The following is a 23,228-nucleotide window of genomic DNA, read 5'->3' as shown; positions in this document are numbered from 1 at the left end:
AAATACAGATATTAGCCAGGGGTGGTGGTACGCACGTGTAGTCCCAGCTGCTTGAGAGGCTGAAGCGGGAGGATCTCTTGATCCTGGGAGGTCAAGGCTGCAGTGAGCCATGTTCATGCCACTGCTCTCCAGCCTGGGCAATAAAGTGAGACCCTATCTCCAAAAAATAAGAAAGTTAAAAAAGAAATTACAGTTGACCCTTGAACAGCTCGGGGATTAGGAGCACTGACCCCTGGCCCAGTCAAAGATTTGTGTGTAATTTTTGATTCCCCCAAAACTTAACTACTAATAACCAACTATTGACTGGAAGCCTTACCAATAACATAAACAGTTGATTAAGCTATATTTTGTATGTTGTATTATTCTATACTATATTCTTACAATAAACTAAGCTAGAGAAAATAATGTTATTAAGAAAATCATAAGGAAGAGAAAACGTAGCTACTATTCACTAAGTGAAAGTGGATCATCATAAAGGTCTTTGTTGTCTTCATGTTGAGTGGGTTGAGGAGGAGAAGGAGGTGGAGGGTTTGGTCTTGCTGTCTCAGGTGGCAGAGGCAGAAGATAGAGAGGAAGTGGAAGGAGAGGAAGGAGGGGCAGGCACATTCAGTGTAAATTTTATTGAAAATAATCTGTGTATAAGTGGACACATGCACTTTGAACATGCATTTCAAACCAGTGTTGTTCAAGGGTTAACTGTATTTGCTTTACTAAACCACAGACTTTATTTGGATTTCACCAGTTTTCCCACTAATGTCCTTTGTCTTTTCCAGTGTTGAATACCATGTTGTGTTTTAGTCTTCATGTCTCCTATCTCCTCCAATCTTTGACAGTTTCTGAATGTTTTATTTTTCCTGACCTTCAAAGATTTATTTTTGAAGAGTACTGGTTAGGTATTTTGTATAATATTTATCCATTTGAGTTTGATACTTTTTAAAGAAATTATGGTAATAAACACATAATATATGGCCACGCACAGTGGCTCACGCCTATAATCCTAGCACTTTGGGAGGCTGAGGCAGGAGGATCACTTGAGTTCAGGAGTTCAAGGCCAACCTGGCCAACATGGCAAAACCCCATCTCTACTAAAAGTACAAAAAATTAGCTGGCCGTGGTGTCATGCACCTGTAGTCCCAGCTACTCTGGAGGCTGAGGCATGAGAATCGCTTGAACCCAGGAGGCGGAGGTTGCAGTAAGCCGAGATCGTGACACTGCACTCTAGCCGGGTGACAGAGTGAGATTCTGTCTCAAAATAAAAAATGTAATATATTATACAATTTACCATCTTAATCGTTTTTTAATGTGCAGTTCAATTGTGTTAACTGTATTCATTGTTGTATAACAGATCTCTAGAACTTTTTCATCTTGCGTAACTGAAACTGTATACCCATTGAACAACTTCCCATTTCTCTTTCCCCCCAGCCCCTGGAAACCACCATTCTACTGTTTCCATGATTTTGACTACTCTAGATATCTCATATAAGTATATTCATATTTGAGTATATGAATATAAGTGGAATCATAAAGTGTTTATACTTTTGCGACTAGCTTATTTTACTCAGCATAGTGTCCTTAAAGTTTATTCATGTTGTAGCATGTGACAGGATTTCCTTCTTTTTAAGGGCTGAGTAATGTTCTATCATATGTAGATAACATTTTCTTTATCCATTCATCTGTTGATGGACATTTGGTTCTACCTCTTGGCTATTATGAATAATGCATCAATGAACATGGGTTTGTAAATATCTCTTTGAGATCCTGCTTTCAACTCTTTTGGATATATACCCAGAAGTGAGATTGCTGGATCGTATGGTAATTCTATTTTTACTTTTTTGAGGAACCTCAAACTGTTTTCCGTAGCGTCTATACCACTTTACATTCCTACCAGCAGTGCACGGAGTTCTAATTTCTCTGTACTCTTGCCAACACTTATCATCTTGTTTTTTTGATAGTGGCCATCCTAATAATTGTAAGGTTATATCTCATTGTGGTTTTGATTTGCATTTCTCTAGTGATTAGTGGTTGAGCATCTTTTCATATTTTTTTAGCCATTTGTGTCTCTTTGGAGAAATAATCTGTTGAGAACAGACATTTCTCTAGGTGTGATCATTGCTGCTGAAGTGTTGCTGTTTTTAGGCCTTCTTCTCCGATGGAAGTAGAAAATATGTAATTATACTCACCCATGTATACATGGATTGGCATTTATTTCTGTCATCTTACGTATTTGTGTATCTATCAGATAGATGCTTTTAACAGTTTAGTTATATCTAATTGAAAACATTTTGAAAGAACTTTCTACTTCTTTTCCCATGTTTTGGATGGATATTATATATAAATAGTTAATTCAGAATGCTGTGGGAATTTGCACTGGTATCCCTACTTCCCATTACATGCTGCAATTTTGTGTAAAGTTTTACATAAAACATCTATTCAGTCAGATTGACTTAACAGAGTAAAATAGTAATTTCCAAAATAAAGTATGTAGGTCCTAAGTCTAGGGGGCATACATTTAGTCTAGTCACTGTGTTTTTTTTCTTTTAATGCTATCTATCATTGCTGAAATAAGTTATGTAAACCCATTCTTGCATGAGAGAAATTCCTACAACTTTGAATCTTTCTCCTGCTTTTAAGCTTTAATATTAACCTCAAGGGATCTAGGGGTGCGTGTGTGTGTGTTTAAAAAGTTCTCATTTTACAAAAAGCATATGGGCTTTAACACTTCAGGCATAGGCCAAAACTTTCAAATTCTTTGCTTTCGCGAGGCTTTTCTTAATAGATTTGAATAGATCAAAATGTCTTTAGTTGCCACTGAAGCCTATAGTAATGATCCTTAGAAATTTTTCTTTTTCCTTCTTCCTTATTTCTTTTTACTTTTTTTATACCTGCAAAGCTGTTAGAAGCTACAGATGACTTGGGTTTCACGACATTTAATATTCATCTAAAATGAGACAGTCTGTGAATATGGATATTTGTCTTCTAAGTTTAGTTTGAATGTATGTAAGAATTTTTTCTGCCTAAGGAATTTTCTTTTGCTATGTTTTACCATATAATATGTTTTAAGGGATACATTTTAAAAAATCACAAAACATACTTATTTTTGTCCAGGTAGACGATATAAAATACTGTACACAGTAATCGCCATAAATTTGAAAAAAACTCCATAAACAACCTATGGCCTTTTTAGAATTGCAGCTGACTGTGGTAATAGTAATGAGCAGTTTTTAAACTACAGTATACGAAAATGCAATAGCATTTTATTTTGTCTTCATAACGTTAGGCCCAAGTGTCCTATAAATGTTTAAATTAATAGATTTAAATTTTGTCTTAAGTACTTTTATTACAACATTATTCTGCAATATTTCCATTGTAGGTATACAATATTTTCATTACATTTTAGATAAATAAGGATTCCTGGACTGTTCTGGCAACTTAACTATCACTCTTTATTTTAAATTTTTTCATGGAGAGGGGAAGAAGGAATGGAGAGTGGGCCAGTCTGTGTTACCAATTACTTGAGTAGGCTTTTGTAGTTTTCTCTTGAGGAAAATATCCCCAGTGGGAAAACTGGTGGTGTGCCTGAGGTTCTCCAAGTTTCCTCCAAATGTTTTGCTGGTTTCTTTCTCCTTCAGCATCAGCTTTCTATGTGTATAAAGTCTGGATCCTTGCATCCTTCTTTTGCCCAGAATGGGCACAGGTCCCCAGGGTAAAAGTGGCTGTAGAGGTCAAATCACTTCTTCCAAATTTTTTGTTTTCATTTTCAGAATCCCAGACCCTTCAAACAGATGCCTTCTGTATCCTGCATTTTAGATGGCTTTTCTAGTTCTGGTTGGGATTGTTGGACTGCTGTTAGCTTCTACATCTCATCCAGAAGGAGAAGTTTCTCACTTACTTCCAGCCCCCAGATGACCTGTTGAAGAAATCTGGTTTTTAGTCTTATAAAATTTTCCAGAGTCTGGATTTTATTGACTTTATCCCCATGGTATCATTTAATATGTTCTTCTGTCCTCTATATTTCCTGTAAACTAGCAGTAACATGTAAAGTGTTGGTCAGATTAAGATGACAGATGATGTATATACTTCTTTCAGGAGGTACTATTTTTTTCTCCTGTTTTTGCAGCACTAACTGTCATTGGTAATTATTACCAAGATCCATTAATTTGTTAGGGGATGCAGAATGGTGCTATTCTAAGTTTTTATTCTTTCCTCATTTATTGGCTGGAATATGTCTATAAAGTAATTTTCTTTTCATAACTATTGGTTATTCTGAAAGTACAGTTTCTATAGGAAAGACACGGTAACCACTTTAACAGTCTTCAAAGAGTTAATCACCTAGCATTCTTAAAAGATGGCCACTGTGAGTTTAAAATTTTGTTTTGGATTTTACTCTGTATGATATTTGGCACCGTATTATCATATTTTATTTTTTATTTTTAAAATTTTATTTCTTTTTTCATTTTTTAAGACATGAATGATAAAGTGTTATCACATTTTTTAAAAATGTTAACGTGAGTGGGCTTTCTCTGAGCACGTATTACTTGATAGCAGTCAAATGATTAGAAAAGTAGTGACTAGTTTATTCCATATTAATAGATATTATATTTTCTTGATTTAAGTCATACCTTGAATAAAATTCACATTTTGACTTTCATAATTCACAATTCTAGACTTACCAGTAATCCTTACATACTAATGATTAGAAGGCAGTTCTGAGTGCCAACCTCCCATTTCCTATCAGATACCAGACATTTAGCATCTCTTTCCCAATTCAGAGTTTTTGGAAAGTCATTGACTTAACTAGAGACATGACTTCTACATTTCATGCTAGAGAAGGTTTTGTTAGGTATGGATGAAGTGATGCTGGTACGATCAGGTATATTATGGAAAAAAAATAGATTTTGTAGTATGACATGAAACTCTAACTTATAACAAAGATTCTTTGAGAACATGCTTTTCAAGTTTCAAATAGACTGTGATGGGGAAATAACCTAATTATAAGTCATGAGCTGCCGCTTTACTGTTGTAAATTTCATTCACTTCTGTTAGTAAAAAATGTATTGTTCCTTTTTCCCTCTCTTTGTAGATTGGTTTTATATTCCTCATGGATCTTATTTGAGCATTGAAATTAGAGTGAGATAAATTTTTCTTGGTGTTAACCTAAGAATTGATTGAAATTGCTTTTATTTGTTTTAGGAAATCTACTTTCTTCAATGTGTTAACCAATAGTCAGGCTTCAGCAGAAAACTTCCCGTTCTGCACTATTGATCCTAATGAGAGCAGAGTACCTGTGCCAGATGAAAGGTTTGACTTTCTTTGTCAATACCACAAACCAGCAAGGTAAGAGATATTTTATGCTATTTATTTGGTGATTTTGTGTAGATTGGGCAGATGTTTAAAGTCATATAGAAGAGTTTTTCTTTTAAAATTAATGTAGCATTATTGTTTTGGGTGATTATAAAAGTCATGCAGAGGGCTGGGTGCGGTGGCTCACACCTGTAATCTCAGCACTTTGGGAGGCCCAGGAGGGCAGATCACAAGGTTAGGAGTTTGAGACCAGCCTGGCCAACATGGTGAAACCACTGTCTACTAAAAATACAAAATTTAGCTGGGTGTGGTGGCAGGTGCCTGTAATCCCAGCTACTTGGGAGGCTGAGGCAGGAGAATTGCTTGAACCCAGGAGGTGGAGGTTGCAGTGAGCCAAGTTACGCCACTGCACTTCAGCCTGGGCAACAGAGCAAGACTCCGTCTCAAAAAGAAAAAAGTAATGCAGAGTATGGAGAAGGGTGTAGAAGGGTATACCCAGTTGTTAACATTGCAATTATTTTTTTCTGGGGAGTATAAAATGGAGTAATTAGTCTGTATTATATGATCTCGTTCATGTAAAACTAAATGTGTTTGTTTATATGCATAAAAAATGTATGAAATGATCATAGACTGATGATTATCTCTGGGTAGTAGAATTTTTAGGTGATTTTTACTTTATTCTTATATTCCTCTATGTTTGAATTTTTTTACAATAAGCATGTATTATGTCTTCAATTAAAAAAATAAGTAAAACTGTTTTATTAGGAAAAAGTGAGATAGTTTAAGTTCATTGTAGGAAGTTCAGACAGTAGGGAAATATATAATGAGAGGGGTGAAAACCACCTCTACTTCCTCTACCTTGATATAACAGTTGTAAATACTTTGGGGATATATCCTTCCATAATTTCCTGACTTTGTGCACACTTACTTACAGAAATAGAATACTTGTTTTACTTGGGATATTATTAATATCTTTCTGGATTAAGCAATACAGACTTAAGTAATAATTTCTAATATAATACTTATATTTATTGCTATATTATATGAATGTAGCACAGTTTACCATTTGCTTATTATTGATAATATAATTTGTTTTTAATATTTTACTATTTTTAATGTCCTGATAAATCCCAGGTTTCTGTCTGGTGTCCTGAACTCTGCAGAACTCCAGATTTCTATATCTAACTGCCTCCTTGATATTGACACTTGGAGGTCTGAATAGGTGCCTTAGACTTGATATGTCCAAAATGACCTCTTGATTTCACCTTCTTGCACCAAATTCTTCTTTAGGACTGCCATAACTCAATAAATAGCACTGTCATTTCCTCAGTTGCTTAAATCAGTGCCCACCATTTATCTTTGATTCTTCTCTCCCCTCACCCCGTATCCAGTCTTATCAGCAATTTTGTGAGTTCTAATTACAAAGTATATACTGAACTCATTCACTTTTTTCACTTTCACTTACTAGTTGTAGCATCCATTGATTTTTTTGATGAATTAATTTTTACTATGAGGATTCTCACATGGTGATTTTGTAATTCTATCATTCCTCCTTCATTTGTTACTATTGTACTGTAAGGAAAAGCTTTCTCATCTTCATCTGTTCATTCATGTATTTATTCAGATGAGTGTTATTTTATTGGTTTTAATCTGTCACAAACATTGATTTGATGCTCAAATTATATCCCTCAGATTGGCTCTTCAGGCTGACTTCAGTGTCCTTTCTAAAACCTTTTTATTTTTAAATGATTTTAAATTTATATAAAAGCTGCAAAAGTACACAAGTGCTTATATACCCTTGCATACCCAGATTCTTAGAACTTTTGAGAATAAGTTGTAGACATGTGCCATATTATACTTCGGTTCTTTAGTTTGTATTTACTAAATACAAAGATATCCTCCCACACAACCATAGTAAAACATCAAAATCAGGGTAGTTTACTATGGGATTAACACTGACCCCATATTACCATCTAATTCATAGACTTTATTTAGATTTTTTCAGTTGTTCCAATAATATGCTTTGTTGCATCTAAACCAGGATCATGTGTTTGTTCAGTTGTTTTATCTTATTTTTTCCTTTTCTTTTCTTTTTAAAATAGAGATGGGGTCTTGCTGTGTTGCCCCAGGGTGGTCTTGAACTGTCGGCCTCAAGCATTCCTCCTGCCTCATCCTCCCAAAATGGTGGGATTACAGGCATGAACTACTGTGCCTGGCCTTTCTTTTCTTTCTTTCTTTTTTTTTTTAAAGACAGAATCTTACTGTGTTGCCCAGGCTGGAGTGCAGTGGTGTGATCACAGCTCACTGTAGCCTCAAACTCCTGGGCACGGTCAAATGATTCTCTCACCTCAGCCTCCTGAGTAGCTGGGACTACAGGCACATGCCACTGTGCCTGGCTAATTTTTAAATTTTTTGGAGAGATGAGGTCTTGCCATGTTGCCTAGGCTGGCTTGAACTCCTGGGCTCAAGTAATCCTCCTGTCTTGGCCTCCCAAATTTGTGCCGAGCCCCACCAGCCTGTTTCTATTGAAGAACATTAATAAGGCCGTGTGCAGTGGCTCAAGCCTGTGATCCCAGCACTTTGGGAGGCCGAGGTGGGAAGATCACCTGAGGTCAAGAGTTCAAGACCAGCCTGACTAACATGGAGAAACCCCATTTCTACTAAAAATACAAAAGTAGCCGGACGTGGTGGCCCATGGCTGTAATCCCAGCTACTCAGGAGGCTGAGGCAGGAGAATCGCTTGAACTTGGCAGGCAGAGGTTGCAGTGAGCCAAGATGGCGCCATTACACTCCAGCCTGGGCAACAAGAGCAAAACTGTCTCAAAAAAAGAACAAAAGAAATTCCTGCCAAAAAAAAAAAGAACATTAATAAATGTTTTTGGTAGTCTGTGTTCATTACAGTATAGCGATTAAAAATATTTTTAACATCATTTTAGTCTCGAGAGTTCTAAAGTAGTATTTTATTCTAGAAGTATTTTGTTCAAGTAGTCATGAGATCATTAGTGTAATACATCAGAAATCCCTGAATTAAATCTCAAGTTTTAATTTTTTGAGATATTGTATTAATAGTTTAAACCTTATCCTAGCCATAAATCACAAATCAGAATTGAGAAGCTCATTTTCTTTTTTTTTTTTTTTTTTTGAGACGGAGTCTCGCTCTGTCGCCCAGGCTGGAGTGCAGTGGCGGGATCTCGGCTCACTGCAAGCTCCGCCTCCCGGGTTCACGCCATTCTCCTGCCTCAGCCTCCCAAGTAGCTGGGACTACAGGCGCCCGCCACTACGCCCGGCTAATTTTTTTGTATTTTTTTTTAGTAGAGACGGGGTTTCACCGTTTTAGCCGGGATGGTCTCGATCTCTTGACCTCGTGATCCGCCCGCCTCGGCCTCCCAAAGTGCTGGGATTACAGGCGTGAGCCACCGCGCCCGGCCGAGAAGCTCATTTTCAATAGAAAATAGAATCTCAGAGCTGAATATCTTCCTGTCTAGTTTCCTCATAAAAAGAAACGTGAAGCCTAGAAAGATGAAATAATTTGTTCATGGTCACACTTATAGTTATGTCAACCAGAAATAGAACTCAAAGCTTCTCACTTCAAATTTAGGCCATTCTACCCAAATGCATGCTACTTACTGTACTTCTGCATTAGTCCATTTTGTATTGCTGTAAAGGGTTACCTGAGGCTGGGTAATTTATAAAGAAAATAGGTTTATTTGGCTCATGGTTCTGCAGGCCATATAAACACAGCACCAGCATCTGTTTGGCTTCTGGCGAGGCCTCAGAAAGCTTTTTTTTTTGAGAGGGAGTTTCGCCATTGTTGCCCAGGCTGGAGTGCAATGGCGCGATCTCAGCTCACTGCAACCTCCGCCTCCTGGGTTCAAGTGATTTCCTGCCCCAGCCTCCTGAGTAGCTGGGATTACAGGCATGTGCTACCACACCCTTCTAATTTTGTATTTTTAGTAGAGATGGGGTTTCTCCATGTTGGTCAGGCTGGTCTCAAACTCCTGACCTTAGGTGATCCACCCACCTTGGCCTTCCAAAGTGCTGAGATTACAGGCGTGAGCCACTGCACCCGGACGAGGCAGCTTTAACTCATGGCCAGAAGATGAAAAGGGGAGTGGGTGTGTCACATGGAGACAGGGGGAGCAAGAGAGAGTGGAGACAGGCACCAGACCATTTTAAACAACCTGCTCTCCAGTGAACTAACAGAGCGAGAACTCACTCATTACTATGGAGAGGGCACCAAGCCATTCATGAGGGATCCACCCCGTGACCCAAACGCCTCCCACCAGGCCCCACCTCCACCATTACGCATCACATTTCAACATAAGTTTTGGAGGTGACAGAACATCCAAACTATATCAACTTCATATTTATCATATGAGTGGTTTTAGTTGTTAGAAATATCATTTAGGATGAATTTAGTTGCCCTTAACACAGTGACTTAAAGAGCTGATTTATTGAGTTAGTAACAGGTAGCACAGTGTTTAGCTCAGTGATATCATCAAAGGCCTGGCTTCTTTCCCCTCTTCAATTTACTTTATCAACTTGACCATAAGGTTGTCTTCCCCTTGTGGTCACAGGATAGATCTGTGTACTTTCTCATCCATGTTCAGAGTGAAACGGGATTGCTTCTAGAAGTTCTCCCAGAAGACTGATGAGCTTCTATTTAACAGCCTCCTACACCCCCTCCAGTAAACCTCTTCTTAAGTCTTTTCATGTCTTTTTTGTTTTTTAAGAGGTGGAGTCTCACCATGTTGCCCAGGCTGAACTTGAACTCCTGGGCTCAAGCCATCCTCCCTCCTGCCTCAGCCTCCCAAATACTTGGGACTACAGATGTATGCCACCATGCCTGGCTTCTTAAGTTCTTTGAGGCAATTAGGGCAAGGTGAAGGTCCTAGAATTGTTTTACTTTCCCTAGGAATGCGATTAAACTGCTTAGTGAAGGCCGGAGCTACATGCCCCACTTCTAGAGTTAGGGGTAGAGCAAGCTTCTCCAAAGCGCTGGGCTCTGCTGGAGAGGAATGGCTACCAAAATGAAAATCCGTATAGGTACCGAGAGGGGGCAGTGGATGCTGGGGAGGCAGTCACTGTGTCCAACAACAAAAAACTAACCACATTTATGTGGTTTTAGTGGATTTGGTGGTAACAATAATCAAGTAATTTCAATCTGTAATACTTCATAGAATAATTGTTTTGAAAGGACTCATTTTCCATGCCAATAATAGGGAAGTCTTTTGTGGAACTTTTATGTTGTATTTTATCAGGTAGTGAAATTGACATTCTGAAAAATGAATGCTCTTGAAAATTGACAAAGGATACACAATTACATTATATATACCTTTGTCATATGACATTAAAAGTAGCTTTTATTTATTGATATACTTAAATCTCCATTTTTACATGGCAAACTGATTTTCCTAACTTGGTTTTTAACTGGTGTTAAATGTGCCTTTATTTAGCAAAGCAAAGGTTATTTTGTATATAGCCTAATTTGGTTGCTGTTATCAACAGCTAGGTTATTACTATGCTGATAACTGGTTCTCAGCATTACACGCTTTTTTTTTTTTTTTTTTTTTTTGTCTATATAACATGTGGGTGATCAAATGCAAACCCAGACAGCCTGTGTTTGAATCCCAGTTTTGTCACTGCTGGCTGAGTGATCTTGAATACAATAGATTTCGTAACTCCTCTAAGGCATAATTTCCTTATCTGTAAAGTGGGCTTAATAAATAGCATCCATCTTATAGAGTTGATTTGAACTTTGAAGTGAGATAATACATGTAGAATACTTAATTTAGTGTCTGGCACAAAGTTAGTTGGCTCATTTTATGATGATTACCTCAGCATACTCTAAACATTCTTCACCGCTTTTGAGTGTGTGTGCATGTGCCAATAGAACTTTATAGTAAAATTAATGATAAGAGTTTTAATTTCAGAAACACGATAAATACATTTATTCTGTTTTAGTTTTCTCACTTATTATCCTAGGTAAGAAAGTCCAAATGTATTACAAGGCCATTTCTAATTTTTTTTGGGGGGAGGGGTGGATATTCATTTATCAAATCATTATTGTTCCATTGTTCTAGAAAGGAAAGAATTTATGTGAAATGTTTGGAGAATTCATTTGGTTGATAGATAAGTTTTTAGTACTGTTTTATAATAAAGCCATCTTTTGTTTTTCAGCAAAATTCCTGCCTTTCTAAATGTGGTGGATATTGCTGGCCTTGTGAAAGGAGCTCACAATGGGCAGGGCCTGGGGAATGCTTTTTTATCTCATATTAGTGCCTGTGATGGCATCTTTCATCTAACACGTAAGTACAGTTGTTTATTTAATCATTGATTTCATTCAGATCAGTGTTTTCTTTCCATTAGTGCACAAATAAAATTAGAAATGACTAATGGAAGATTGCTTTGCTTTACCAGATGAATCTTGGGTTTGTCTGTAAATCTGTGACTTTAATGTTACTTAGTATCATCTCCGTATCTGAAGGCTTATTCCATAGCAAGTATATGCTGCATTGAGATTATATTCTAATTGAACTTTATTCCCTGTTCTGGATTAGAGCAATCAAGAAGTGTTTCTATATGGAACTTTGTTCATTGTAAAGGCATTCTGAAATTATCTTAAATTGTGGAACTTTATTGCTTTTCTGTGTGTTAAGGAGGCAGAATTGTTAGAGAAGGGGATTCTGATTATTTAACAACAGAGAAAGGCTTCTGGGTTATCTATTAGAGATGAAAGGATTAAAGAGAAACTATAGATCAGCTAGTCCTTATGGAGAGAGGAATATAAAGGAAAGAGAAAAAATAGGACTGTGGCTTAGTTTGGGCTCTGTTGACTGACTATAAAAGTGAGCCAATCACATAGTAATTTTCTGACAAAATAGAGTTTAGGTTAAGGCTTAGGTCAAGGCTGTACTTTGTGTTAATAGTATTATAATGAGCAAATTAATAGAAACAAGAAAACACAAGTTAGAGGTGAGAGGGCCAGCTGTGTCTGGTTAAGTGCATTTGTTTCTGGTCCTCAACTAGATAACTATAGTAACTGAGAGTAAGCATTTAGAAAATATAGCAATTTGACTAATTTTTTGGTCATTTGAATAAAGTAATAATAAAATTCTGCCGGTACTTTTTGTGTGCCTTTTATAAAACACCATTTACCTCTGTGGTTTGCATAAGCTGGCTAGAAAAAAGATTTGTTTGCCTAGAATCAGGTTGGTGCAAAAGTAATTGCAATTTTGCCAACATAATGCCCAAAACTGCAATTACTTTTGTACCAACCATATAATTCATTTGTATTGTATTTTACAAAACCCCATGACAGACAATTTGAGAAGCATTGATCTAGGTAGTTTAAATTTGAGTGAAGGTATGGTGAGACCTCTGGGAAGTCTAGATAAAAGAATGAGGCTGTGATGGGGAAGTGATCCAGTTTTGTAGAGAAGTTTTAACTAAAGCCTGTACATTGGCAGAACGTCTGTTTTCCTGACTGGTTTTCTTCTGGTTTTGGTGACTGATGTGAGGATTTCATAGAGAAGGTAGAGTGAAGTGTGACTCCTGGATTTCTGGACCAGGTCACTTGAATGAATTGTGATACCATTTGTTGAAACGTTAAACACAGAAAAAGCAGCAAGTATTGAGAGAGATGATGATGAGTTCAGTTTGGGACAATTTAAAAAATTTTGTAGTTGGGGCATCCTGATAGGTGTCTGTCAGAAAGTAGAATTGATAGGACACACGTGACAGAAGGATCGGGGCAAGAGAACTGAAGATTTGGGTATGAGAAAGTGAGTTGATGGGTGGAAAAGAACTTAAAATAGAGTGGGAGTGAAAATAGGAGAGCACTGAAAAATGGAAGGCTTATGGATCTGATTCCCTGATAAGGTTTCAGAACAGGTAGGTTGAGTGTAAGGCTGTCGTGTGGTTAGGGAGGGATATTTGACTTAAAATTTTCCAGGCTGGAGCAATTTAGGATGATGGTAAGGTCCTGATGATGTTGGTAATAAAAATATCTCTGGTTTTGTTGTTTCTTACATAATATTCATTTGATGTGATTTTCTAACCCTTGTGGGGGGGGAAATGAATTTGGTGAGGAGCATACATACTATATTGTATTTAAGTCAGGCTAAAGATACCATCATTAAGGAAGGAAAGAAAATCCAATTAAAGTAGATACTATGCTCTCTTAGTATGATTGATCTCAGAATGTGAAAGTGCCAAAATACGCATCTTAGAATTGATGAAATACAGTGTATATATCATTGTATAGTACATAAAGCACTGAATGATACATTTATAATCAGAATTTTAAAAAAATCCTTAGATTTATAGTCAGAAAAAAAGACTTGTAGAGATTAGAAAGATTATGGATTACTTTGAGGCTATGAAAATTGATAATTCTTTAATTTCAACAGTCAGATATATGTTAGTGTTTAGAGTACTTTTCAGCTTTCTATTAGAACATCCGAAAGTTAGGGGACAGAAAAAATTGTTAATGAGAAGTTTTAGTTTATCACTGAATTTTAATTTATTAATATCATGTTTCTCTCCATTAATTTGATTAATTTTTAAAAATTAACTTTTGCCTCACCTTGTTTACTTCCCTTGGCTATTAGAAATATGTAAAATATATACATTGTTGCAAACACATATACTTGTTTAAAATGCAAATACTCATCTTGGTGGATTTGCTTTGGCTTTAAATCTTTAAATCACTCTATCTTATTCATTTGACTGATTTGACTCTTATAAGTGTGCTAGATGCTGAGGGATGTATTGGTAAGTAAAAACAGATGTGACCATTTTTCTCATGAGCTTATAATACAGTGGAGGATACAGACATTGAATAAAATGGTCACATAAATATTAGATGTCTTTCTAGTTGTGTACAAGGAGAAAGGAATATGTGTGTGAGTATGCAGTGTTACCTTGAGGAGGTGACAGTGATGCTGAGAGGTAAAAGCTGAATGGGAACTAAGTTAGCAAAAGGAGGAAAGGAAAGATTATTATTCAGAGTAAATGGTTTGTTTCAAGGCCCTATGGTAGAAAGGAGCCTGCTGCCTTAAGAACTGCCATGGTGGTTAGAATGAATGATGAGGAGTAGGAGCGATGGAAAAGAGCCCAGGGATATAGTTAGGGATGTGATTAAGTTCACCATATTAAAGATATCCATCTCAAATGGCTTAAATCTAAAGGATTTTATTTATTTATTTGAGATGGAGTCTTGCTCTGTCTCCCAGGCTGGAGTGCAGTGGCATCATCTCGGCTCACTGAAACCTCCACCTCCCAGGTTCTAGCAATTCTCGTGCCTCAACCTCTCCAATACCTGGGATTACAGAGGCACACCACCACACCAGGCTACTTTTTGTATTTTTAGTAGAGACGGGATTTCACCATGTTGGCCAGGCTGGTCCTGAACTCCTCACCTCAAGTGATATGCCCACCTCAGCCTCCCAAAGTGCTGAGATTACAGGTGTGAGCCACTGTGCCCAGCCTAAATATAAAGGATTTTAAATGGACAGTTGAGGTGGGGATGGAGGCAGATGAAATTGTTCCAGTAGCTTATTTTGCAATTACAGTATTCAGTTGAGTTGCACTTTTAATGTTTTAACCAATCAAAATGGGCTGAGCACGGTGGCTCATGCCTGTAACCCCAGCATTTTGGGAGACTGGGGCAGGCAGATTGCTTGAGTTCAAGACCAGTCTGGGCAACATGGTTAGACTCCTGTCTCTACCAAAAATACAAAAAATTAGCTGGGTATGGTGGCATGTGCCTGTGGTCTCAGCTACTCGAGGCTGGATTGGGAGGGCTGCTTGAGCCTGTGAGGCAGAAGTTGCAGTGAGCCAACATTGCGCCACTGCACTCCAACCTGGGTGGCAGAGTGAGACCCATCGCAAAAAAAAAAAAAAAAAAAAAAAAAGGGAAATAAAATGGAGTAAGTTGCCAATAGTTTGAATTTTCATTTTGTATAAAACTATATTTCCAAGATACTGATAATGATTTCCCTAGATGATGTATGAGCATAAACAATATAGAATACTTAGAATACTTTTTTTTTTTTTTTTAAAGAGTCAGGGTCTTGCTATGTTATCCGGGCTGGTCTTGAACTCCTGGACTCAAGCAGTCCTCCGCCTTGGCCTGCCAAAGTGCTGGGATTACAGTCATGAGCCACCGTGTCCGGCCAGTAATGTGTAAAGCTTCTTTCACACACAACATGTATTTGCCCAGGTGTGGTGGCTCATGCCTATAATCCTAGCACTTTGGGAGACCTACGCAGATCACTTGAGCTTAGGAGTTCAAGATTGGCCCGGGAAGCACAGGGAGACCACATTGCTACAAAAAAAAAAAAAAAAAATTAGCCGGCCTTGGTGGCCTGTGCCTTGTAGTTCCAGCTACTTGCGAGGCTGAGGCAGGAGAATCACTTGAGCTCAAGAGTTCGAGGCTGCAATGACCTGTGATTGCACCACTGTACTCCAGCTTGGATGACAACAAGATCCTCTCTCTAAAAAAATAAAAAAGATTAAAAGAATCAATACATGTTACTTAGTTTGTTTACCCCCAAATAATGTCCCCTCCCACCCCTGGGGTTTGCTGCCTAATGTAAAGGTATTTCAGATCCTTACCCCCATTAGTCATTTAGAGTTTTCGCTGAAGTTTTATTTTCAGTAGGTTTGTTTGCAAAGTGTACTAATGAGGACATGCAAGATAGTAGAAATAATGAAAGATTATTTTCTTGTTTGAATATGTGCAGATCTGGAGTTACTGTAGTTTTTTAAAGTATATTTTTGAAGTTACTGTATGCTAACTCGTAACTATGGATTCAGCTATATAAACGGGAGTTTATCTTTCACTAAACAAGTGCTGCTGAGGTGAAAGTTAGGTCTTATTTTGACACTTAATAAACATAACAACTGTCAGAATTTGCATGAGGAATTACAAGAGCTCATCTTTTAATTCTGGTGGTTTTTTTTTCATCAGGAAAGCTTTGTGAGAAGTGTTTTTACAGTACAAATGAATGTCTGCTTATTAAATTTAATTTGAAAACAGAATCAGTCTTCATTTATCGGAGGGTCACTTATTTTTCTTGCCCTAGTTTAAATCCTTGGAATACTTTTCCAAAAAAATATTGGTTCTTCATTGATAGTAAGGAGCTGAAAAAAAAAATTCAAAGCCAGTTGCAGTGGCACATGCTGGTAATCCTAGCTACTCAGAAGGCTGAGGCCCGAGGATTGTTTGAGCCCAGTAGTTGAGGTTGTAATGTGTTATGATTGTGTCTGTGACTAGCCACTGCACTGTAGCCTGGGCAACACAGGGAGACTTTGCTTCTTTAAAAAAAAAAGAAAGAGAATACTGATTCAAGAATGACCTAATAATCTGCTGTCTAGGTGAAGCTTCACATATAGCTAATTGAAGATTCTCATCTTGTGTGTAAGCCCAGTTTGCAGCAAATGTGGACTAATTTTATATAGCAGGTAGATGCAGCATTAAAAATTTTTCTATACACAATAATATGGATGAATCTCAAAATAATTATGCTGAGTGGAAGAAGGCAGTCCAAAAAAAGAGCGTATACTATGATTCCATTTATATAAGATTCTAGAAAATGCATACTAATTAGAAAGCAGATCACGGTAGCCTGGGGGAGGGGCAGAGAGAGGGATTATAAAGGGCTGTGAGGAAACTCTTGGGGGTGGTGGATATGCTCATAATCTTGTTTGTAGCGATGGTTTCACAGGTGTATGCATATGTCAAGACATGTATACATCTGACTGTACACTTTTTGCACATTTTGTTGTATGTCACTTTCACCTCATTAAAGCAAAAAAAGTGGGAAAGAAAACTTTTCTTATACTTTTCCTTTTAGGGGAGCTTTGCTTGTACTCTGTTTCAGCACTGTAAGCGTTGGAAATAATGTCATATTTTTAGATAATAATTAGCAGGTTGGTGCAGCTATTTGTATTGATTTAAAAATGAAAATAGGGCTGGGTATAGTGGCTCATACCTGTAATCCTAGCACTTTGGGAGGCTGAGGCGAGTGGATTAGTTGAGCCCAGGAGTGCGAGAGCAGCCTGGGCAACATAGTGAGATCTCATCTCTAGAAAAAAAAATTGAAAGGAAAAATAAAACCTGATTATTTTTGAGCCTTAACATTTTATGAAGAACTTTGGGTTTTGGTGCAATTGTAGTGAAATTATTTCTCTCTGATACATCAGTCTTGGAAGTACAAAATATTTTCAGTTACAGAATTTGTTAAACTTGATTCCAAAATACAGTTGACCCTTGAACATACTGGGGTTAGGGGAGCTGACCCTTGCACAGTTGAAATTCGGATATAACTTTTAACTCCCCAAAAACTTAACTACAAATAGCTTACTGCTGACTGGAAGCCTTACAAGTAATATAAACTATTAACACACATCTTGTATGTTATATATTTATATTCTATATTCTTACAATAAAGTAAGCTAGAGAAAAGAAAATGTTTTCAAGAAAATCATGGCCAGGTGCGGTGGCTCAGGCTTGTAATCGCAGCATTTGGAGGCTGAGGGAGGAGGATTGCTTGAGTCTAGGAGTTTGAGACCAGCCTGGTCAACATAGAGAGATCCACATCTACAAAAGATAACATTAGCCAGCATTGTGGCGTGCACCTGTAGTCCTAGCTACTCAAGAGGCTGAGGCAGGAGGATTGCTTGAGCCCAAGAGTTTGAGGCTGTGGTGAGCTATGATTGTGCCACTGTACTCCAGCCTGGGTGACAGAGTGAGACCCTGTCTTAAAAATAAAAAGTAAGAGAATATGCATTTACAGTACTATACTGTATTTTATTGATACTGTCATCTATTCACAAGATTAATTGTTTGTCTGAAATGGCAGTAACCCCAGGTGCAGACCTCAGTCTATAGTCCATATCAAGCAGTTCACCTTTTTCTTGTATTGTCAATGACTTTTCTCTTCTCTGCTTCTTGGGAGCATTTCCAGCATCACTAATAGCACTTTGTATAGGTCCCATAATGTTATTTTTTATTTTATTATTATTGTTTTAGAGATAGGGTTTAGCTCTGTTGCTCAGGCTGGAGTGCAGTGGTACAATCATAGCTCATTGCAGCCTGGAACTCCTTGGCTCAAGTTATCCTCCTGCCTCAGCCCCTCAAGTAGCTAGGACTACAGGTGTGCACCACAATACCCAGCTAATTATATATATATGTTTTTTTTTGTAGATACAGGGTCTTGCTGTGTTGCCAGGCTGGTCTCAAACTCCTGGGCTCAAGCAGTCCTCCTGCCTTGGCCTCCCAAAGTGCTGGGATTACAGGTGTGAGCCACTTGCCTGGCTTATGTTATTCAACATTTATAGTATTGCGACCATGATGAAAAATATTAATATGCAGGAACCTCAAGGGATTACTTTTTACAGCAATACACGATTTACTGGAGAAATGAACTGCTCATGTGATGATGATTAATGTCTCACAGTGTTTTAAGATAAGGATACTTGGAACACTCAAGCTTATCCCAATAGCAACCGGAGGTGGCTGTGAAATAATTATGGTAGTACAATATGGACTACAATTAACTTTATGCAGTTATGATTTTATATGGCATTTTTAGTTTATTTACATTTCCCTTAAATGTGAATGGTTCCATGTATGGTCTGTAAGTGTGTCTAAGTTTTGATAAATTTTAACTTTTTATAATAGAGTTGTATATATTTTACAGTAGTAAGTGATAAAATTGACAAGTATCTATGTATATTTTATGCATGCATGGCATACCTAGTTTTTTCTTATTTTTTTCCATATTTCTAGGCTACATGTTTCATCTACAAGTTTTTTCAAATTGTTGCAAATCTTCAAAAAATTTTCCATTATAGTTATTGAAAAAAAGTCTGTGTGTAAGTGAATCCTTGAAATTCAAATCCTTGAAATTCAAACCTAAGTTCAAGGATGAACTGAAGTATTTATTGACGAGTTTATTAGTAAATTTGTTATGTAAAGCATTTAAAAATATTTGTAAAGTTCAGGAGTTTACATATTTTATTTTACAAATTGTCATACAGTAACGTAACATTCTGGGTTTACAGTTCTATGAATTTAACATGCTTATAGATTCATAAAACCACCACAAGAGTATGGCTACAGAACACTTTCATCACCCCAAAAGCTCCCTTCTACTCACATTCTTTTATGGATCTTTTAGGTGTCTTTAAATACCAGAATGTTCTTTTCATTCTTGTTGTTTTGGAAATATTGCTCTTATTTTCTTCCGAAGTTTGCTTTTTAAAAATTCTTTTTTTTTTTTTTGAGATAGTCTCACTCTGTCGCCCAGGCTGGAGTGTAATGGCGCGATCTTGACTTACTGCAACCTCCACCTCCTGGGTTCAAGCAATTCTCTTGCCTCAGCCTCCCCAGTAGCTGGAATTCCAGTCACCTGCCACCATGCCTAGATAATTTTTGTATTTTTAGTAGAGACGGGGTTTCATCATGTTGGCCAGGCTGGTCTCGAACTCCTGACCTCAGGTGATCCACCCACCTCGGCCTCCCAAAGTGCTGGGATTACAGGCATGAGCCACCACTCCCAGCCCCTTTTTAAAATGCTTAACAAAATTTTGTGTTAAACCAAACTAAATTTTGAACTAACGGGCAGAGCTGCCTATTTCTGAAACATATAAAATGTCTGGAAAATACAGGATAATATGAAAATGGCAAGACTCTTGTGTTTGTTAAATTTTTCCACCCAAGGGCCCTAACCACAAAGGATAAGGAACATGATGACTTTTGGTACGTGGTGTAGTGCCACACACTTTACTTCAAGGAGAAGTTTTTAGAATCTCATGGTTTTTTGTTTTCTGTATTTCCAGCAGTCCCAGTTTGAGAGGCAGGATCTTAGGTTAAGATATAACCCTAGGGCAACCAAGAGGCCTACCTGACCAAACTACTAAGTGCAACTTACAATTATAATAATGAATATTTTTATAGCACTTTGCTTAGTTAGTACTGTTTATTTATTTATTTTTTTGAGGCGGAGTCTCTCTCTGTTGCCCAGGCTGGAGTGCAGTGGCACAGTCTTGGCTCACTGCAACCTCTGCCTCCTGGGTTCAAGCTATTCTCATGCCTTAGCCCTCTGAGTAGCTGGGACTACAGGTGTGCACCACCACGCCTGGCCAATTTTTGAATTTTTAGTAGAGACGGGGTTTTACCATGTTGGCCAGGCTAGTCTCCAACTCCTGACCTCAAATGATCTGCCTGCCTCGGCCTCCCAAAGTGCTGGGATTACAGGCGTGAGGTACTGCGCCTGGCCTTGCTTTATTGTTTTTAATGATGCATTGTTGGGTTTTTTTTTTGGTGAAAGTAGGTTTTAAATTTCAACACTTTTTTTCATTTTTTATATTTAAAAAAATTATGGTAATATATACATAACATAAAATTTGCTACTTAATAATTTTTAAGTATAGAGTTCAGTGGCATTAAGTACATTCACATGTACTTTTAAAAAATTACAAATGACATTGCTAATGAATACCCTTTTTAAAAAACTTTTATGATAGATTTTTCTCTTTCATCTTCAGTAAACAGAATCATGCTCAGATAAAACGGCCTGCCAAAGATTAAATACAGGAGAAGGAAACAGCAATCATTTTATAGGAAGCAAATTCTTTTTAAATTCATACATACAGTAACTTATCTGAAAGCAGGGTGCGTTATTTGGAAAAACCACTAACTTTTTCTCTAGGGCTCATTGAGCCAATATGACTTCGCCAGTTTTTGGAAGCAATATAACTTACTATTGCTGGATTTTTAAATATTTGAATATGATGAAGCTATTGATTTCACCAAATCCTTAGCCTTTTTTTTTTCTTTTGACACATAAAGATCACTGAGTAAAGATTCTTAACTTTTTAAAGCTGTCGTTAGAAGTTTTGAAGTTACATTTCAACAGGAATCTAAGACATTTGTGTGTTATTTGAAGCATAGCACCTTTGGCAGTATCACTATACCTACTGTCAGGCTATTCACAGATAAAACTTGTTAAGGTTTCTCAATAGGTACTTAGAGATATGACCTTGGAGACTAGAAGCAAGAGTGTTGCTTTCTGAGCTATGGGACAGTTTTCTTCCCGGTTTAGAAACGTATAGTAGGAGGGTCTCATATATGGGACTGGTATATAATTAGTTATAGTTGTGGAAAACAAAATTTCAAATATAATTTATTTTCAGCTAAGTTTGCATGTGCATGTATGTGTGTATGTGTGTTTGACGGTGATGGTGGGAGTAGGGAATATATTGCCCTATTCTTTCCTGAGTTCTGGTCACCAATTGTTGTAGTTAAATTTTCTGCCTGTGGATTTATTTTGAACTTTTTGTGTGAATTTCAGTCACTATACTTTTTCTCGTTAGAGTGTACTCTTTCTAGTTATTAAAAAGAAAAGTTAACTGTAAAACAGCCTCAGGCAGGTCCTTCCGGAGCTATCCAGAAGAAGCCATTGTTATCATAGGAGATGACAGCTCCATGGGTGTTATTGCCCCTGAAGACCTTCCAGTGGGACAAGATGTGGAGGTGGAAGACAGTGACACTGATGATCCTCACCCTGTGTAAGCTTAGGCTACTGTGTGTATTTGTGTCTTAGTTTTTAACAAAAAGGTTTAAAAATAAAAATAAAATTTAAAAAATGGAAAAAAGCTTATAGATAATATAAAGAAAATATTTTTATACAGTTGTACAATGTGTTTGTGATTTAAGCTAATTGTTATTACAAGAGTCCAAACGTTAAAAAAATTAAAAAGTTTATAAAGTAAAAAGTTATGGTAAGCTAAGGCTAATTGATTATTGAAGAAAAAAATTAACATAAATTTAGAATAGCCTAAATGTACATGGTTTATAAAGTCTACACTTGTCTATGTCAATGTTCCAGTCATTCACATTCACTCACCACTCAATCACTGACTTAGCCAGAGCAACTTCTAGTCTGTAAGTTTCATTCATGGCAAGTGCCCTATACAGATGTATGATTTTTTTTGTCTTTTATACTGCATTTTTACTGTACTTTATATTTAAATATGTTTAGATACACAAATACTTACCATTGTGTTACAAGTGCTTTCAGTATTCAGTATAGTAACATGCTATACAGGTTTGTAGCCTAGGAGCAATAGGCTATACCATTTAGCCTAGGTGTGTAGTAGGTTATACCATCTAGGTTTGTGTAAGTACCCTCTATGATGTTCACATAATGATGAAATTGCCTGAAGATGCATTTCTCAGATGTGTCCCCATTATTAAGCAACTCATGTCTGTAGTTGGGAATAGTACTCAATAAGGCAAGTCTGACTCTAAAAACAGCACTGTTTGCCTTTGTACCAGTGCTGACCAATGGAAATATAATAAAAGCCATAAATGTGAGCTACATATGTAATTTAAAATTTTTCTGATAGCCACATTAAAAAAGTTAAAAAGAAACAGGTGAAATCAATTTTAATAATATTTAATGTAACCAAAAATATTATTTCAATATGTCAGTATGTCAGTATGGACTAGCCATATTTCAAGTACTTCTTAATAACTTAATGGTACTTAATATCTTGTGGCTATTTGCTACAGTATTGGACAGCCAAGCCCTGTACTATAAGCATAGAAAAAAATTTGAAAAAGATACATTATACTATTGATAGATTTCTGAAAAATAGAACTGGGGTGGAGGGAGAAATGGGTGATTTTTATTTTTCATTTTAGACCCTTTGCTTTTAAAAAAGCGAATATGTATTATTCTGATTTTTAAATATGAGGAATTTTTCATTTTAAATACCAGTTTTGGATATGATATGTACAAATGATTCAAATATAATTTTCTAGAGTTCTGCATTAAAACAATGATAGGATGATTTTGGCTTAGAATGATGTGATGTATGGAGTTATCAATAATGTATTTCTAAAATGTTTG

General features: G+C 36.9%; 1 protein-coding gene and 1 long non-coding RNA gene across 4 annotated transcripts in view, besides 1 other annotated feature; both read left to right on the top strand.

Annotated features, from left to right (window-relative positions):
* The window catches only part of OLA1 (Obg like ATPase 1), a 176,086-nt gene that overhangs the window by 13,891 nt on the left and 138,967 nt on the right, over nt 1-23,228 (top strand). For all 3 annotated transcript variants that reach the window (NM_001011708.3, NM_001328688.2, NM_013341.5), the window contains 2 exons: nt 5,191-5,334; nt 11,482-11,609. Coding sequence is in view for 2 of the 3 variants with exons in the window: in NM_001328688.2 (NP_001315617.1) it covers nt 5,191-5,334; nt 11,482-11,609 (272 nt within the window). In the remaining variant the exon portion in view is untranslated. The remainder of the gene's footprint in view (nt 1-5,190; nt 5,335-11,481; nt 11,610-23,228) is intronic.
* Nucleotides 1,335-1,535: a silencer, noted in NCBI's record as "peak3933 fragment used in MPRA reporter construct". NCBI's record gives its function as "represses an SCP1 promoter by STARR-seq MPRAs in K562 erythroleukemia cells {active_cell/tissue: K562}" and the evidence as "EXISTENCE:reporter gene assay evidence [ECO:0000049][PMID:32103011]".
* Nucleotides 18,547-23,228, top strand: part of LOC124907906 (uncharacterized) — a 31,096-nt gene continuing 26,414 nt past the window's right edge. Inside the window, exon 1 of the long non-coding RNA XR_007087307.1 lies at nt 18,547-21,882. This is a non-coding gene — a long non-coding RNA (uncharacterized LOC124907906). The remainder of the gene's footprint in view (nt 21,883-23,228) is intronic.

Source organism: Homo sapiens, chromosome 2 (genome assembly GCF_000001405.40).
Source record: "Homo sapiens chromosome 2, GRCh38.p14 Primary Assembly".
Classification (NCBI taxonomy): domain Eukaryota; kingdom Metazoa; phylum Chordata; class Mammalia; order Primates; family Hominidae; genus Homo; species Homo sapiens.
The sequence above is the reverse complement of the archived record's forward strand: the minus strand, read 5'-3'. Positions and strand labels throughout refer to the sequence as shown.